Source organism: Homo sapiens, chromosome X (genome assembly GCF_000001405.40).
Source record: "Homo sapiens chromosome X, GRCh38.p14 Primary Assembly".
Taxonomy (NCBI): Eukaryota; Metazoa; Chordata; class Mammalia; order Primates; family Hominidae; genus Homo; species Homo sapiens.
The window spans coordinates 58,148,245-58,168,355 of NC_000023.11; positions in this window are offsets into that span (position 1 = coordinate 58,148,245).

Genomic DNA, 20,111 nt, shown 5'->3' on the forward strand with positions numbered 1-20,111 from the left:
ACCAGATTGAAAACATTTTCTTTTAGAACCTATGAAGGGACATTTCTGAGCCCACTGAGGAAAAAAAATAGAATATCCCACGATAAAAACTAGAAACAACTTATCTGTGAAAGTTTTTTGTGACTCGTAACTTCATTGCACAAAATAAATCTTGTTTTTTGATTCACCAGGTTGGAAACATTGTTTTGTTACAGTCTATGAAGGGGCATTTTTGAGCCCATTGTGGCCAATGAGGAAATTCAAATATCCCATGATAAATACTAGGAACAAGCCGTTTGTGAAAATGCTTTGTGATGTGTGAATTCATATCACGGAATGGAACATGTGTTTTCATTAACCAGGTTGGAAAGACTCTCTTTGTACATCTTCAGAGGGACAATTCTGAGACCTTTAGGCCCATAAAAAATCAAATATCATGCGATAAAAAACACAAGCAACTTTTGAAAATGCTTTGTGATGTCTAAATTTGTCTCACAGAATGAAACCTGTGTTTTGCTTCACCAAGTTGGAAACACTCTTTATGTAGTATCTACGAGGGGACATTTCTGAGCCTTTTGAAGCCTGTAATGAATAACTGAATATCACATGATAAAAATAAGAAACAAGCAATCTGTAAAAATATTTTGTAATGTGTGAATTCATCTTTCAGAATGGAAAGTATGTTTTGATTCTTCATTTTGGAAACTCTCTTTTGGTAGAATTTATAGCCAAACATCTCTGAGCCCATTGAATCCTATAAGGAAAAACTAAATATCGTGTGTTAAGAACTAGAAAAAAGCTATCTGTGAAAATGCTTTGGGATGCGTGGATTCATCTTACAGAATGGAACATGTGTTTTGTTTTACCAGGTTGGAAGCACACTTTCTGTAGACTCTACAAAGGGAAATTTCTTAGCCCTTTTAAGCCTAAGGTTAAAAATGAAATATCCTGCCATAAAAAGTGGAAGCAAGCTATCTGTGAAAATGCTTTGTGAGGAGTATTCATCTCACAGAATGGAATCTGTTTTTTGATTCACCTGGTTGGAAACACTCTTTTTGTAGATTTTACGAAAAGACGTTACTGAGCTTAGTGAAGCCAATAGTGAAAAACCGAATATCCCACATTCAAATCCAGAAAGAAGTTATTTGTGAAAATGCTGTGTGATGTGTGGACTCATCTCACAAAATAAGACCTGTGCTCTGATTTAAAAGGTTGGAAACACTCTTTTTGCAGTATCTACAAAGGGACATTTCTATGCCCATTGAAGTCTATAGTGAAAAACCGAATATTCCTCAATTAAAAACTGGAAACAAGCTGTTTATAAAAATGCTTTGTGATGTGTGGATTTTTCTCCCAGAATGGCACCTCTGTTTTGATTCACCCGGTTGGCAACACTCTTTTTTGTGGAATCTACATAGGTACGATTTTGAGCCCATTGAAGCCTATAGGGAAAAACAAAATATCCCATGATAAAAACTGGAAACAAGCTGTCTGTGAAAATGCTTTTGGATGTGTGCATTCATCTTACATAATGGAACATGTGTTTTGATTCAACAGGTAGGAAAGACTTTTCTTGCAGAATCTACAAAGAGAAACTTCTGAGCCCACTATGGACCATAAATAAAATCAAATATTCCATGATAAAAACTAAAAAGAATCTGTCTGAAAATTCTTTGTAATGTGTGAGTTCATCTCACAGAATGGTACCCATGTTTTGATTTACCAGAATGGAAAATTCTTTTTTAGAATCTACGAAAGGATATTTCTGAGCTTAATGAAGCCTAGAGTGAAAAACGAAATATCCCACATGAAAACCTACAAACAAGCTATCTGTGAAAATGCTTTGTGATTTGTGGATTCAGCTAACAGAGATAAACCTCCGTTTAACTCTGGATATACTCTTTTTGTAGAATCTATAAAGGGACATTTGTGAGCTATTGAAGCCTAAAATAAAAAACTAAATATTTAGCAATAAAAAGTAGAAGCAGGATATCTGTGAAATTGTTTCAAGATGAGTGAATTCATCTCAGATGATGGAACTTGTATTTTAACTCACTGGGATGAAAACACTCTTTTGCTATAATCTAGGAAGGGACATTTTGGACCCCATTAAAGTCTACAGTGGGTGTGGCTGGCAAGATGGCCGAACAGAAACAGCTCCGGTCTGCAGTTCCCAGTGAGGTCAATGCAGAAGGTGGGTGATTTTTGCACTTCCAACTGACGTGCCAGGCTCATCACATTTGGACTGGTTAAACAGCAGGTGCAGGCCATAGAGAGTGAGCTGAAGCAGGGTGGGGCATTGCCTCACCTGGGAAGTGCAAGGGGTTGAAGAACTCCCTCCCCTAGCCAAGGGAAGCCAAGAGGGACTGTGCTGTGAGGAATAGTGCACTTCAGCACCGATACTATGCTTTTCCCATGGTCTTTGCAACCCACAGACAAGGAGATTCCCTTTGATGCTTGTCCCACCAGGGCCCGGGGTTTCAAGCACAAAACTGGGAAGCTTTTTAGGCAGACACTGAGCTGGCTGCAGGAGTTTTTCTTCCCATATGCCAGTGGCACCTGGAATTCCAGTGAGACAGACCCATTCACTTCCTTGGAAAAGGGTCTGAAGCCAGGGAGCCAAGTGGCCTAGCTCAGTGGATCCCACATCCATGAAGCCTAGCAAGCTAAGATTCACTGGATTGAAATTCTTGCTGCCAGCACAGCAGTCTGAAGTCGACCTGGGATGCTGGAGCTTGGTGAGGGTAGGTGCATGGGCCATTACTAAGACTTGAGCAGGCGGTTTTCCCCTCATAGTGTAATTAAAGACCCCAGGAAGTTTGAACTGGGTAGAGCCCATCACAGCTCAGCAAAGCCACTGTTGCCAGACTGCCTCTCTAGACTCCTCTTCTCTGGGCAAGGTATCTCTGAAAGTAAGGCAGCAGCCCCTGTCAGGGTCTTAGAGATAAAACTCCCATATCCCTAAGACAAAGCACCTTGGGAAAGGGGTGGCTGTGGGTGCAGCTTCAGCAGACTTAACGTTCCTGCCTGCCAGCTCTGAAGAGAGCAGCTGATTTCCCAGCAGAGTGGGACCCTGACCCCCATGCCTCCTGACTGAAAGACACCTCCCAGCAGGGGTTGACAAACGCCCTCATAAAAAAGAGCTCTGGATGGCTTCTGGCAGGTGCCCCTCTGGGGCAAATCTTCCAGAGAAAGGAGCAGGCAGCAATCTTTGCTGTACTGCAGCCTCCACTGGTGATACCCAGGCAAAGAGTGTCTGCAGTGGATCTCCAGTAAACTCCAGCTGACCTGCAACAGAGGGGCTTGACTGTTAGAAGGAAAGCTAACAAATGGAAAGAAATAGCATCAACATCAACCAAAGGAGGTCCACACAGAAACCTCATTGGAAGGTTACCAACATAAAGACCAAAAGTAGATAAATCCACGAAGATGAGGAAAAAAGGTGCAAAAAGTCTAAAAAATTCCAAAAACCAGAATGCCTTTTCTCCCCCAAAGGATCACGAATCCTGACTAACAAGGAAACAAAAGTGGACAGAGAATCAGTTTGACAAATTGAAAGAAGTAGGCTTCAGAAGGTGGGTAAAAACAAACTCTTCCAAGCTAAAGGAGCATGTTTTAACGCAATACAAAGAAGCTAAGAACCTTGAAAAAGGTTAAACGAATTGCTAAGTAGAATAACCAGTTTAGAGAAGAACATAAATGACCTGATGGAGCTGAAAAACACAGCATGAGAACTTTGTGAATCATATAGAAGTATCAATAGCTGAATCGATCTAGCGGAAGAAAGGATATCAGAGATTGAAGATCAACTTAATGAAATAAAGCCTGAATACAAGATTAGAGAAAGAAGAATGAAAAGAAACAAACAAAACCTCAAATAAATATGGGATTATGTGGAAAGACAAAACCTATGTTGGATTATTGTACTATTGCGGGATCTGGCCGGCAGTCTGCAATGCAACGGGGCTCTCTCTCTGCTCCTAGGTGGATCGGCAAGTTGAGAAATAATGGACACACACAAGATAGTGAAAGCTGGGTCCAGGGGGCCACCGCCTTCTGGTCCCGTGGTGTCAACAATGCACAGGATATACCTCCATTTATTATTAAGTTTAGCGAGGGTGGGGGTAGGTTAATGAGGGATTTAGGGTCATTTGATTATGAGGTGAGATGGTCACATAGGGATGAAGTGATTCTTTAAGATAACATTTGTATGTAGAATAAGTACAGTACATTTGTATGTAGAAGTACAGTATACAGAGATAAGAATTTACAATTTAGTGTGTGCGTCAGTAATTTCTAACAGAGCCTTAGAACAGAAACACAATCTTTCCATAACCTATGATTAGCAAGATATTAATCAGCAGTAACAATTGCAACAAAAGCTGGTTACAAACAATCCATGGAAACAGGTCGTGAAGCTAGACAACTGGTTAGACCAGAAATTCTCAGAAGGGAGTATGCTTTAATCCTAAAGAGGCCTAGAAGAGTCACAGCAAGATGAAGGCGTTTATAGCCCTATCTTATCCATATGGACAGGCGCACCCCATGCATCCATTTATAGGCTTTCCACAAGGGTCGCATTCCATTCCCAGAGCTACGAACATCTGCTTTTCTGGGATAGGAGTCTTGGTGATGTGAAACCTCCCTGACTGCACGTCCATTCATAGGCTCTCTGCAGGGGGAGGCACATCACGTGCTGTTGGCTCGTTCTGGCCGTCCAACCTGGCATTGTCTTTACACAATCCTGCATGAAATTTTGTATTTACAATAATCAGAAGCATTTCATCTTTTATTCCATAGCAATAGTTTCAGGGGGTCTCTCTACACTGTACCTGAAATTGATGGGGACAATGGAATTCAAGTTGGAAAACATTCTTCAGGATATTATCCAGGAGAATTTCCCCAACCTAGTAAGACAAGCTAACATTCAAATTCAGGAAATACAGATAACACCACAAAGATACTTCTCTAGAAGTGCAACACCAAGACAAGTGATATCAGATTCACCAAAATTGGAATAAAGGAAAAAATGTTAAGGGCATCCAGAGAGAAATGTCGGGTTACCCACAAAGGGAAGGCCATCAGACTAACAACGGATATTTCTGCAGAAACCCTACAAGCTAGAAGAGACTTGGGACCAATATTTAATATTCTTAAAAAGAAGAATTTTCTTTTTTTTTTCAGGTGCACTGGTGACGTAATTTATTTTTTTCTCTTTTTTGATATTATACTTTATGTTCTGGGGTACATGTGCGGAATGTACAGGTTTGTTTCATAGGAATGCACGTGTGATGGTGGTATGCTGTACCCATCAACGGGTCATCTACATTAGATATTTCTCCTAATTCTACTGCTCCCCTAGCCCCACAACCCCTGACAAGCCCCAGTGTGTGACATTCCTGTCCCTGTGTCCATGTGTTCTTATTGTTCAACTCCCACTTATGAATGAGAAAATGTATAGAGTATAAATTATTCTACTATAAAGACACATGCACACATATGTTTATTGCAGCACTGTTCACAATAGCAAGGATTTGCAACCATCCCAAATGTCCGTCAATAATAGGCTGGATAAATAAAATGTGGCACATATACACCATAGAATACTATGCAGCCATAAAAAAAGATGAGTTCATGTTCTTTGCAGGGATATGGAAAAAGCTGAAAACCATAATTCTCAGCAAACTAACACAAGAACAGAAAACCAAACACCGCATGTTCTCATTTACAAGTGGGAGTTGACAAATGAGAACACATGGACACAGGAAGGAAAGCAACACATACTGGGGCCTGTTGGGGGGTGGGGGCCTAGGGGAGGGAGAGAATTAGGAGAAATACCTAATGTAGATGACCGGTTTATGGGTGCAGGATACCACATTTTCACTTGTGTAACTATGTAACAAGCCTGCACGTTCTGCACATGTATTTCAGATATATATATATAGCCTGTAGTGAAAAACTGAACATCTTCAGATAAAAAGTAGAAACAAGATAACATAAAAATGCTTTTTGATGTGTGGATGTGTCTCACAGAATGGAACCTGTGCTTTGATTAGACAGGTTGGAAACATTCTTTTTGTAGAAACTGGGAAGAGATATTTCTGAGCCCATTGTAGCCAATAAGGGAAATCAAATATCCCGTGTTAAAAAGTAGAAACAAGCTATTTGTGAATATGCATTGTGATGTCTGGATTCATCTTACAGAATGGAACTTGTGCTCTGATTCGTCAATTTGGAAACTCTGTTTTTAAAATATATAAAAGGGCATTTCTGAGCCCACTGAGGCCAATAAGAAAAGATCGAATATCTGGTGATAAAAACTAGGAGTAAGGTGTCTGTGAAAATGCTTTGTGATTTGTGAATTCATCGCACAAAATGAAACCTTTGTTTTGATTCACCAGGTTGGAAGCACTATTTTTGTAGAATATAAAAAGGAACATTTCTGAGTCCATAGAGGCCAAAAAGAAAAAATCAAATACTACATGATAAAACTAAGATACAAGCTATCTGTGAAAAATGCTTTGTGATGTTTGGATTCATCTCAAAGAACACTGTTTTTTTGTAGAATGTATGAAGGGATATTTCTGAGCCCATTGGGGCAAATAATGAAAAATTGAATGTTCCACGATAAAAACTAGAAACAAGCTATCTGTGACAATGCTTTGTCGTGTGTGGGTTCATCTCACAGAATGGAACTTCTGTTTTGATTTGACAGGTTGGAAATACACTTTTTGTAAAATCTACAAGGACGCATTTTTTAGACCATTGAGGGCCTTAAGAAAAAATTGATTACTTCCGACGAAAACTAGAAACAAAATATCTGTAAAAATCCTTTGTGAAGAGTAGATTTACTCGCAGAATGGAACATATATTTTGATTCAGTAGGTTGGAAACACTCTTTTTGTTCAATCTAAGAAGGGATATTTCTGAGCTCATTGATGCCAATAAGGAAAAAGCAAATATACTGCGATAAAAACTAGAAGGAAGTTGTCTGTGAAAACGCTCTGTGATGTGTGAATTCATCTAACAAAATGAAACTTGCTTTTGGATTCACCAGTTAGGAACACTCTTTCAGTAAAATCTATGAGAGAACATTTCTGAGCCCATAGAAGTCTAGAGTGACAAACAAAATACCCTGCATTAAAACCTAGAAAAAATCTATTCATCAAAATACTTTGTGAGGTGTGGTTTCAGCTCACAGAGTTAAAGCTTTGTTTTGATTCACCAGATTGGAAACACTCTTTTTGTAGAATCTACAAAGGGACATTTGTGAGCCCACTGAAGCCTAAAATGTAAAACTGAATATCTGGTAATAAAAAGTAGAAGAAAGCTATTTGTGAAAATTCTTTGTGATGTGTGGATTCATCTCACAGAATGGAACCTGTCTTTTGATTCACCAGGTTGAAAACACTCTTTTTGTAGAATCTACGAAGGAATATTTGTGAGCCCACTGCACCTAATAGATAAAATTGAATATCTCACAATAAAAACTAGAAACACTCTATCTGCAAAAATGCTTTGTGATATGTGGATTAATCTCATAGGATAAAATCTGCAGGTTTTTTTTCACCAAGTTGGAAACACTGTTTTTGTAGACTCTATGAAAGGACATTTCTGGGTCCATTGTGGCCAAAAAGGAAATTCAAATATCCCTTGATAAAAACTAGAAACTAGCTATCTGTGAAAATATTTTATGATGTATGGATTCACCTCACTGAATGGAACCTGTGTGTTGATTAACCAAGTTGGAAACACTCTTTTTGGAGAATGTGCAGGGGTACAATTCTGAGCCCTTTAAATCCTAGTGTGAAAAAAGTATATTCCTCAATAAAAACTAGAAAGAAAGCCTTTGTGAAAATGCTTTGTGATGTGTGGATTCATCCAAGAGAATGGAACCTGTGGTTTATTCACCAGGTTTGAAACACTTTTTTGTAGAATCAGAAAGGGGACATTTATGAGTCCATTGAAGCGTACAGGAAGAAACCGAATATCTCACGTTAAAAAATAAAAACAAGCTATCTGTGAAAATGCTTCATGATGTGTCGATTCGTCTAACAGAATGAAACTTGTGTTTTGATTCACCAGGCTGTAAACACTCTTTTTTTTATAATCTACAAAGAGACATTTCTGAGCCCATTGCATCCAATAAAGGAAGAATAGAAGATTCCTCAATAAAAACTAGAAACAAGCTATCTGTGAAAATGCTGTGTGATGTGTGGATTCATCTCACAGAATGGAACTTTTTTTTTATTTACCAGGTTGAGACACCATTTTGGTAGAATGTACAGAGGGACATTATTGAGTCCATTGTGGCCTATAAGAAAAAATTAAACATTTCATGATAAATATTAGAAACATGCTAACTGTGAAAATGCTGTTTGATGTTTGAATTTATTTAACAGGATGGAACTTGCGTTTTGATTCACCATGTTCAAAACATTCTTATTGTAGAATTTACGAAGGGACATTTCTGAGCCCTTTGAAGCAAATAAGGAAAAATCGAGTAACCCATGATAAGAAAAAAGAAAGGAAAGGAAAGAAAAAAGAAAGAAAGAAAGAAGAAAGAAAGAAAGAGAAAAGAAAAGAAAAGAAAAAAGAAACAAGCTATTTGTAAAAACGCTTTGTGGAGTATGGCTTTATCTCACAAAATAAAACATATTTTCATTCACCAGGCTGAAAATACACTTTTTGTATAATCTAAGAAAGGACAGTTCTGAGATCATTGAGGCCCGTTAGGAAAAAAATTGATGACTGCAATAAGAGCTAGAAACAAAGTATCTGTGGAAATGCACTGTGATGTGTGGATACATCTCACAGTATAAAGCCTGTGTTTTGATTCACCAGCTTGGAAACACACTTTTTGTGGTATCTATGATGGGATATTGCTGAGTCATTTGGCAAAAATAAAATAAAATAAAATAAAAATAAAAAGAGTATCTTGCAATAAAAACTAGAAACAAACTAAGAAGGGATATTACTGAGCCCACTGAAGCCAATCAGTAAAAATCCAATATCTTATGATGAAAACTAAAAACAAGCTATCTGTGAAAACAACTGTTTGTGGTGTGTGGATTCATCTCACAGAATGGAACATGTGTTTTGATTCACCGGATTGGAAACATTTTTTTTGTAGCGTATACAAAAAGACATTCCTGAACCCATTGAAGCCTAGAGTGAAAATCCAAATATTCCTCATTAAAACCTATAAACAAGCTATCTGTGAAAATGCTTTGTGATATTTGGATTCATTTTATGAAATGCAATCTGTGCTTTGATTCACCAAGGTGGTTACACTCTTTTTGTAGAATGTACAAAGAGGCATTTCACAGCCCATTGTAATCAATAAGGAAAATCAAATATCCCACGATAAAAAAATAAATAAACAAGTTATCCGTGAAAATGCTTTGTGATGTGTGGATTCATCTCACAGAAATGAACTTGTGTTTATATTCACCAGCTTGGAAACCCTCTTTTTGTAGAGTCTACGATGGGTTATTTCTGAGTCATTTGGCAAAAAAAAAAAAAATAATAATAATACTATAATAAAACCTGAGTATCTGCTGATAAAAACTAGAAACAAGATATGATTTTAAAAAAACTCTGTGTGATATGTGGATTCATCTCACAGAATGGAATCTGTGCTTTGATTTACCAGGTTGAAAACCCTCTTTTTGTAGAATCTACAAATGGACATTTCTGAGCCCATTGAAGTCTAGGGTAAAAAACTGAATATCCTGTGATGAAAACTAGAACCAAGCTATCTGTGAAAATGCTTAGTTATATGTGGAATCAACTCAAAGAGCGTAATTTGTTTTTTGATTCTCCAGTTTGGGACCACTATTTTAGTAGAATAAACGAAGGAACATTTCTAAGGGCTTCGAGGCTCATAAAAAATCGATTATCCCAATAAAAACTAGAAACAAGCTACTTATGAAAATGGTTTGTGACGTGTGGATTCATCCCACAAAATGGATCCTGTGTTTTGATTCAGGAGGTTAGAAACTCTTCTTTGGTAGAATCTATTAAGGGACAGTTCTTAGACCATAGGGGTCCCTGAAAAAATCGAATATTCCATGACAAAAACTAGACACAAGCTATCTGTGAAAATGCTGCTTTGTGATGTGTAGATTCATTTCACAGAATGGAAATGATTTTTTTTTTGAGGGAGTCTCTCTCTGTCGCCCAGGCTGGAGTGCAGTGGTGCAATCTGCAAGCTCCACCTCCTGGGTTCATGCCATCTTCCTGCCTCAGCCTCCTGCGTAGCTGGGACTACAGGCACCTGCCACCACGCCTGGCTAATTTTTTTGTATTTGTAGTAGAGACGGAGTTTCTCTCCATTAGCCAGGATGGTCTCAATCTCCTGACCTTGTGATATGCCCACCTCAGCCTTCCAAAGTGCTGGGATTACAGGTGTGAGCCACCACGCCTGGCCCATAACTTGTGTTTTAATTCACCAGTTTGGAAACACACCTTTTGTAGAATCCAGGAATGGAAAATTTTGAGCCCATTGAGACACATAAGGAAAAACTGAATATGTCATGATAAAAACTAGAAACAATTTATCTGTGAAAATGTTTTGTGATGTGTGGATTTATCTCACAGTATGAAAATTGTGTTTTGATTCACCAGGTTGGAAGTGTTCTTTTTGTAGGATCTATAGCGGGATATTTCTGAGTCCATTGAAATTTAAAGTGAAAAAATGAATAACCCACAATAAAAAGTAGAAACAAGATACCTGCAAAAATGGTTTCAGGTGCATGGTCTAATCTCATAGAATGGAACATCTGTTTTCATTCATCAGGTTGGAAACTCTCTTTTTCTGGTATAAATGATGGGACATTTCTGAGGCCATTGAGACCAATATGAGAAAATTGAGTATCTCAAGAAAAAACTAGAAACAACATATCTCTGAAAATGTGGTATGATGTGTGGATTCATCTCACAGATTGGAATGTGTGTTTTGGTTCACAAAGTTTGAAACACTCTCTTCATACATCTACAAAGGGACATTTCCTGACCACGTTTAACACAATAACAAAAAAAATCAAATATCCCGTGATGAAAACTAGAAACAAGCTATTTGTGAAAAAGCTTTGTGATGTGTGGATTAATCTCACAGATTGGGATGTATGTTTTTTTTCATCAGCTTGGAAACACACCTTTTTGTAGAATCTACAAAGGTACAGTTCTGATCCCATAGAGGCCTATAAAAAATCAAATATCCAGTAATAAAAACTACAAACAAGGCTGGTTCAACAAAGGCAAATCAATAAATGTAATCCATCACATAAACAGAACCAATGACAAAAACCACATGATTATCTCAACAGATGCAGAAAAGGCCTTCAATAAAATTCAACATCCCTTCATGCTAAAAACTCTCAATAAACGAAGTATCAATGGAACGTATCTCAAAGTAATAAGAGCTATTTATGACAAACCCACAGCCAACATCATACTGAATGGGCAAAAACTGGAAGCATTCCCTTTGAAAATCGGCACAAGACGAGGATGCCTTCTCTCCTCTCACCATTCCTATTCAACATAGTGTTGGAAGTTCTGGCCAGGGCAATCAGGCAAGAGAAAGAAATAAGGGTATTCAAATAGGAAGAGAGGAAGTCAAATTGTCTCTATTTGCAGATGACATGATTGTATATTTAGAAAACCCCATCATCTCAGCCCAAAAACTCCTTAAGCTGATAAGCAACTTCAGCAAAGTCTCAGAATACAAAATCAATGTGCAAAAATCACAAGCATTACTATACACCAATAACAGAGAAACAGAGAGCCAAATCATGTGTCAACTCCCACTCACAGTTGCTACTAAGGGAATAAAATGCTTAGAAATACAACTTACGAGGGATGTGAAGGACCTCTTCAAGGAGAACTACAATACACTCAAGGAAATAAGAGAGGACACAAAGAAATGAAAGAACATTCCATGCTCATGGATAGGAAGAATCAATATCATGAAAATGGCCATACTGCCAAAGTAATTTATAGATTCAATGTTATCCCCATCAAACTACCACTGACTTTCTTCACATAATTGGAAAAAACTACTTTAAACTTCATATGAAACCAAAAAAGAAGACCAATAGAACAGAACAGAGGCCTCAGAAATAACACCACACATCTACAACCATCTGAATTTGACAAACCTGACGTTCACAACAATAGGAAAAAGGCTCTCTACTTAATAAATGGTGTTGGGAAAACTGGCTAGCCATGTGCAGAAAAATGAAACTGGACTCCTTCCTTACACCTTATACAAAAATCAACTCAAGATGGATCAAAGACTTAAAAGTAAGACCTAGGACCATAAAAATTCTAGAAGAAAACCTAGGCAATACCATTCAGGATACAGGCATGGGTAAAAACTTCATGACTAAAACACCAAAAGCAATGGCAATGAAAGCCAAAATTGACAAATGTGATCTAAGTAAACTAAAGAGCTTCCGCACAGCAAAAGAAACTATTACCAGAGTGAACCGGCAACCTACAGAATGGGAGAAAATTTTGCAACCTATCCATCTGACAAAGGGCTAATATCTAGAATCTACAAAGAACTTAAACAAATTTACAAGAAAAAAACAAACAACCCCATCAAAAAATGGGCAAAGGATATAAACAGACACTTCTCAAAAGAAGACATTTATGCAGCCAACAGACATGAAAAAATGCACACCATCACCGGTCATTAGAGAAACGCAAATCAAAACCACAGAGATACCATCTCATGCCCATTAGAATGGCGATTATTAAAAAGTCAGGAAACAACAGAGGCTGGAGAGGTTGGGGAAAATAGTAATGCTTTTACACTGTTGGTAGGAGTGTAAATTAGCTCAACCATTGTGGAAAACAGTGTGGTGATTTCTCAAGGATATAAAACTAGAAATACCATTTAACCCAGTAATCCCATTAATGGGCATATACCCAAAATATTATAAATTATTCTATGATAAAGACAATGCACACATATGTTTATAATACTATGCAGCTATAAAAAAGGATGAGTTCATGTCTTTTGCAGGAACATGGATGAAGCTGGAAACCATCAATCTCAGCAAACTATCACTAGATCAGAAAACCAAACACTGCATGTTCTCACTGAAAATTGGGAGTTGAGCAATGGGAACACATGGACACAGGGAGGGAAACATCAAACACTGGGGCCTATCAAAGGGTGGGGCAGTAGGGGAGGAATAACATTAGGAGAAATACCTAATGTAGATGATGGGTTGAGGGATGTAGCACACCACCATGGCACACATATATTTATGTAACAAAACTGCATGTTCTGCACATGTAACCAAGAACCTAAAATATAACAATTAAAAAAAATAGAAACAAGCTGTCTATAAAAATACTTTGTGATGTGTGGATGCATCTCACAGAATGGAACCTGTGTTTATAGTCACCAGATGGAAAACAGTCTCTTTTAGAATCTATGAAGGGACATTTTTGGCCCCTTTAAAGCCAATATTGAAAAACAGAATCTTCTGCATTAAAAACTACAAAGAAGATATCTGTGAAAATGCTTAGTGCTTTGTGGATTCATCTCAAAGAAGGGAACCTGTGTTTTGATTCACCAAGTTGGACATACTTTTATTGTAGAATCTACAAAGGTACATTTCTGAGTCCACTGAAGCCTAAAAAGAAAAAAGTATATCCCAGAAATAAATAGAAACAAGCTATCTGGTAGAATGGTTTGTGATTTGTGGATTTGTCTCACAGAATGGAACTTGTGTTATGTTTCATCAGGCTGGAAATACTCTTTTTGTAGAATCTATAAGGGAACAATTTTGAGCCCACTGAAGTCTAAATTGAAATACCAAATATCCCGTGATAAAAACGGAGAAACAAGATATCTGAAAATTGTTTGAGATATGTGGATTCATCTCATAAAACGGAAGCTTTGTTTTGATTAACCAACTTGACTTGAAAACATTGTTTTGTTATAAACAATGAAGGGCCATTTCTTAGCCTATTGAATACTTGAATCCCACAGTAAAAAACATAATATCCCGTGATAAAAAAAAAAAAAAAAAGCTATCTGTGAAAACGCATTGTGTTGTCTGGATTCATCTCAAAAAATGGAACTTGAATATTGATGTATCATGTTGAAAACACTCTTTTTGTAGATCTATGAAGGGACATTTCTTAACACATTGTGATCAATAACGAAAATTGAATATCCTACGACAAAAACTAAAAACAAGGTATCTGTAAAAATGCTTTGCTATGTGTGGATTCATCTCACAGAATGGAACCTGTATTTTGATTTGCCAGCTAAGAAACACTTTTTTGTAGAATGTAAGAAAAGATATTTCTTAGCTATTTGGCCCATAAGAAAAACTTGAATATCCTTGATAAAAACTAGAAACAAGCTATTTATGAGATGCTATGTGATGTGTGGATTCAGCTCACAGAATAAAACCTGTGTTTTGATTCAACATGTTGGAAACACTCTTGTTGTAAATCTAAAAGGGGACATTCCTGAGCCCATTGAAGTTTATCATGAAAAACCAAATATCTTGAAATAAAAAAACGGAAACAAGTGGTCCTTGAAAATAGTTTGGATGTGTCGATTCAGCTCTTAGAATGAAACCACTATTTTGATTCACCCTGTTGGAAGCACTTTTTTTGAGGAATCTACATAGGTCCCTTTTTTAGCCCACTGTAGTCTACAGCAAAAACCCAAATATTCCATGACAAAAACTGGAAACAAGCTATGTGTGAGAATGCTTTATGATGTGTGGATTCATTTCACCGAATGGACCATGTGTTTTGATTCACCAGGTTGGAAACACTTTTTTCGTAAAATATATGAAGGGAAATTTCTGAGCCCACTGAGGCCCATGAAAAAAATTGAATTTCCCGTGATAAAAATTAGAAGCATGATATTTGAGAAAATGATTTGAAATGTGTGGATTCATCTCACAGAATGCAACCTGCGTTTTGACTTCTCAGGTTGGAAACACTCTTTTTCTAGAATATCTGAAGGGACATTTCTGAGCCCTTTGCAGCCAGTAAGGAAGAATCAAATATCCCATGATAAAAAATAAGCAAGCTGACTGAAAATGCTTTGTGACATGTGCATTCATTACACAGAACATGTGTTTTGATTCATCAGGTTGGACATAGTTTTTGGTAGAATCTCGAAGGGACATTTCTGAGCCCATTGAGCCAAATAATGAAAAATCGAATATCCTGCAATGAAAACTAGAAACAAGCTATCTGTGAAAGTGCTCTGTGATATGTGGATTCATCTGACTGAATGGAAACTGTGTTTTGACTTACAGCTTGGAAAAACTTCTTTTGTAGAATCTACAAAGGGACATTTCTGAGCCCTTTGAAGCCTATAGTGAAAAACTGAATATCCCATAATAAAAACTAGAAATGAGGGATCTGTGAAAATGCTTTGTGATGCCTGGATTCATCTTACAGAATGGAACCTGTGTTTTGATCAACCACGTTGGAAACAATCTTTTTGTAGTATATATGATGGGCCATTTCTGTGTCCATTGAGGCCAATAAGAAAAAATTGAATATTGAATACCTTGCAATAAAAACTACCAACAATCTATCCGTGAAAATGTTGTGTGACGTGTGGATTCATCTCACAGAAAGTGACCTGAGGTTTTATTCACCAGTTTGGAATCACTCTTTTTGTAGCTCTGCAAAGTGACAATTCTGAGACCATTGAAACCTACAATGAAAACCAAATATCCCATGATGAAAAGTAGAAGCAGGCTATCTTTAAAAATGCTTAGTGATTCATATAACAGAAAGGAATCTGTGTTTTGATTAAACAGCTTGGAAACCCTCTTCTTGTAGAATCTATGTAGGAATATTTCTGAGCCATTTTGTCCATAAAAAAAACTTGAGTATCCCGAGATAAAAACTAGAAACAAGCTATCTGTGAAATTGCTCTCTGAAGTGTGGATTTGTCTCACAGAATTAAACCTCTGTTTTATTCACTAGGTTGGAAGCACTATTTATGTAGAATTTACAAAAACATATTTCTGAGCCCTTTGAAGCCTACAGTGACAAACAGAATATCCCACAATGAAAACTCAAAACAACCTGTATGTGAAAATGATTTGTGGTGTGTGGAATCATCTCACTAAATGGAGCCTGTGTTTTTCCTCACCAGGTTAGAAACATTCTTTCTGTAGAATCTAAGAAGGGACATTTCTAAGCCCATTGAGACCTATAGTGGAAAACCAAATATCCTGAGATAAAATCCAGAAAACAGCTATCTATGAATATGTTTTGTGATATTTATTTCACTCACAGAATGGAACCTGTGTTTTAATTCTGCAGGTTGCAAACACTCTTTTGGTAAAATCTACAAAAGGACATTTCTGTGCCCATTCACACTTATAGTGAAAAACTGAATATCCTGTGACAAAAACTAAAAATATGTAATCTGTGAAAATGGTTTTTGATATGTGTTTATTTATCTGACAGAATGAAACCTGTGTTTTGACTCACTGGGTGGGAAACACACTTTTTTGGAATCTATTAATGGACATTACTGAGCTCACTGAGGTTTGTAGTGAAAAACCAAATATCTCACGAATATTATCTAGGAACAAGATAAATGTGAAAATTCTTTGTGCTGAGTCAATTCATGTGAGAGAGATTAACTTGAATTTTCCTTCACCAGGTTTGAAACACATTTTTTTGTAGAATCTATGAAGGGACATTTCAGAGCCCGTTGAGGTTCATAGTGAAAAACAAAATATCCCACGATAAATACTAGAAACTAGCTATGTGTGAAAATGCGTTGTGATGTGTGGGTTCATCTCACAGAACAAAATCTGCATTTTGATTCACTAGGTTGGAAAGCCTCTTTTTATAAAATCTATAAAGAGACAGTTCTGAACCCATTGAAGCCTATAAAGGAAAACTGAATATCCTATGGTAAAAATGAGAAACAGTCTTTAAGTGAAAATACCTTGTTATGTGTGGATTCATTTCTCAGAATGGAACTTGTGTTTTGATTAAACAGATTGGAAATACTCTTCTTGTAGTATCTACAAAAGGACATTCTTGAGCCCATTGATGCCTAAGGTGTTAAAATAAATGGCCCACACTAAATACTGGAAAGAAGCTACCTGTGAAAATACTTTGTGATATTTGGGTTCATCTCCCAAAATAAAACCTGAGTTTTGATTCACCAGTAAAGAACCTGTCTTTTTGTAGTATCTATGAAGGCAAATTTCTGAGCTTATTGAAGACTTCAGTGAAAAACCATATATCCCATGATAAAAACTAAAAGCATGCTATTTGTGAAAATGCTTTATAATGTGTGGATTCATCTCACTGAATGGAAACTATGTTTTGAGTCACAAGGTTGGAAACACTCTTTTTGTAGAATCTACACATGGACATTTCTGAGCCCAGTGAGGCCTATAGTGATAAACTGAATATACTGAGATAAACACTAGAAACAGGGTATCTCTAAAAATGTTTTGTGATGTGTCAGGTCATCTCACAGAATGGAACTTGAGTTTATGTGCACCAGTCTGGAAATACTCTTTTTGTAGACTCTAAAATATGACATTTCTGAGCCCATTGACTCCCATACTGAAAACCAAAATATCCTGCCATAAATAGTAAAACAATTATCTGTGGAAATGCTTTGTGATGTGTGGGATCTTCTCACAGAATGTAATCTGTTTTTATTCACCAGGTGGAAAACACTTTCTTTGTAGGATGTACAAAGGGACACTTTGGAGCCCATTTAAGCCTATAATTGGAAATGGAATATCCCATGATAAAAACTAGAAACAAGCTATCTTTGAAACTGCTTAGTGATATATGGATTCAAGTCACAGAACAGAAACTGTGTTTTGCTACACCAGGTTGAAAACACTCTTTTTGTAGAACCTATGAAGGGACAATTCTGAACCCATTTAGAAGTATAGTGGAAAACCAAATATCTCCCAGTAAAAAATAGAAAGAAGCTATTTGAGAAAATGCTTTGTGATGTGTGGATACATGTCACAGAATGGAAGCTGTTTTTTGATTCTCCAGGTTAAAAACTTTCTTTTGTAGAATCTACGAACGAACATTTCTGAGCCACTTAATGCTTGATAAACACTAGAAAGAAGTTGTGTGTGAAAATGCTTTGTGATGTGTTGATTCATCACAAAAATGGAAACTACATTTTGATTCACCAGGTTGGAAAAACACTCTGTTTGTATAACCTACAAACAGATATTTCTGAGCCCATTGAGTCCTATATTTGAAAACAAAATATCCCAGGATAAAAAGTAGAAACAAGCTATCTGTGAAAATGCTTTTTGATGTGTGAATTCATCTCACAGAAAGGCACCTGTGTTTTGAATCAGCAGGTTGGAAACACTCTTTTTGTAGAGTCTACCAACGAAAATTTCTGAGCCCATTGAGCTCTACATTGGAAAACATAATATTCCGTGATATAAATTTAAAACAAGCTCACTATGACAACACTCTGCTATTAGTGAATTCATCTATCTGAATAAAACCTGTTTTTATTCATCTGGTTGGAGGTAATCTTTATGTAGAATCTACGAGTGGACATTTCTGAGCCCATTGACACCTATAGTGAAAAACTGGATATCCCCGGATAAATACTAGAAACAAGCAATCTGTGAAAATGATTTGTGATGTGTGGATTCATCTAACAGAATTGAACCTGTGTTTTGATTCACCAGCCTGGAAACACTCTTTTTGTAGGCTCTAAAGAGAAACATTGGTGAGCCCATTGATGCCTAGTGAAAACCAGAATATCCCACCATAAATACTAAAACAAGAACCTGTGAAAATACTTTGTGATGTGTGGGTTCATCTCACAGAATTGAACCTGTGTTTTCATTCACCAAGTGAGAAGCACTTTTTTGGAAGAATGTATGAAGGAACGTACCTGAGCCCATTTATGCCTATAGTGAAAAACTGAATATCCCATGATAAAAACTAGAAAAAAGCTATCTGTAAAAATGCTTTGTGATGCATCGATTCTTGTCACAGAATGGAACCTGAGTTTTGATTCACCAGGTTGGAAAAACTTTTCTTGTAGAAGCTATGAAGGGACATTTCTGAGCCCATTAAGGCCTACAGTGTAAAAACGAATATCCTATGATAAAATCAAGAAACAAGCTAACTGTGAAAATGCTTTGTGATATGTTGGTTCATCTCACAGAATGGAAACTACATTTTAACTCATCAGGTTGAAAATGCACTTTTTGTAAAATCTACAAAGGGACACCTCTGAGCCCATTGAGTATTATAGTGAAAAACTGAATATCAAGTGATAAAAACTAGAAACAAGCTATCTGTGAAAATGATTTGTGATTTGTGGATTCATCTCACAGCATAGAACCTGTGATTTGATTCCGCAGGTTGGAAACAATCATTTTGTGGAATTCGCAAACGGACATTTCTGAACCCATTGAAGCTTATAGTGAGAAACTGGATATCCCGTGGTTAAACACTAGAACGAAGCTAATGTGAAAATGCATTGCAAAGTGCGGATTTATCTCACAGAATGGAACAAGTGTTTCCATTCTGGAGGTAGAAACAGCCTCTGTGTAGAATCTATAAATGTACATTTTTAAGCCCATTGACTCCTGCAGTGAAAAACCAGATATTCCATGATAAAATGTAGAAATAAGCTATTTCTGAAAGTGCTTTGTAATGTGTGAATTCATCTCATGGAATGAAAACTGTGTTTTGATTCACCAGGTTAGTATTGTAGAATCCACAAAAAGATATTTCTGAGCTCATTGAGGTCTATACTATAAATCTGAATATCCCACAATAAATACTAGAAGCAAGCTCTCTGTGAAAATGCTTTGTCATGGTTGGTTTCATGTCACAGAATGTAACCAGTGTTGTGATTCACCAGGTTGGAAACACTGTTCTTGTAGAATATACGAAGGGTTATGTCTGAGCTCATTGAACCCAATAATGAAAAACCAAATACTTTGCAATAAATACCGAGAACAAGATTTCTGTGAAAATTCTTTGTGATGTATGGGTTCATCTCACAGAATGAAACCTGCGTTTTGACTCACAAGGTTGGAAACCCTCTTTTTGTAGAATCTACAAAAGGGACATTTCTGAGCCTATTGATGCCT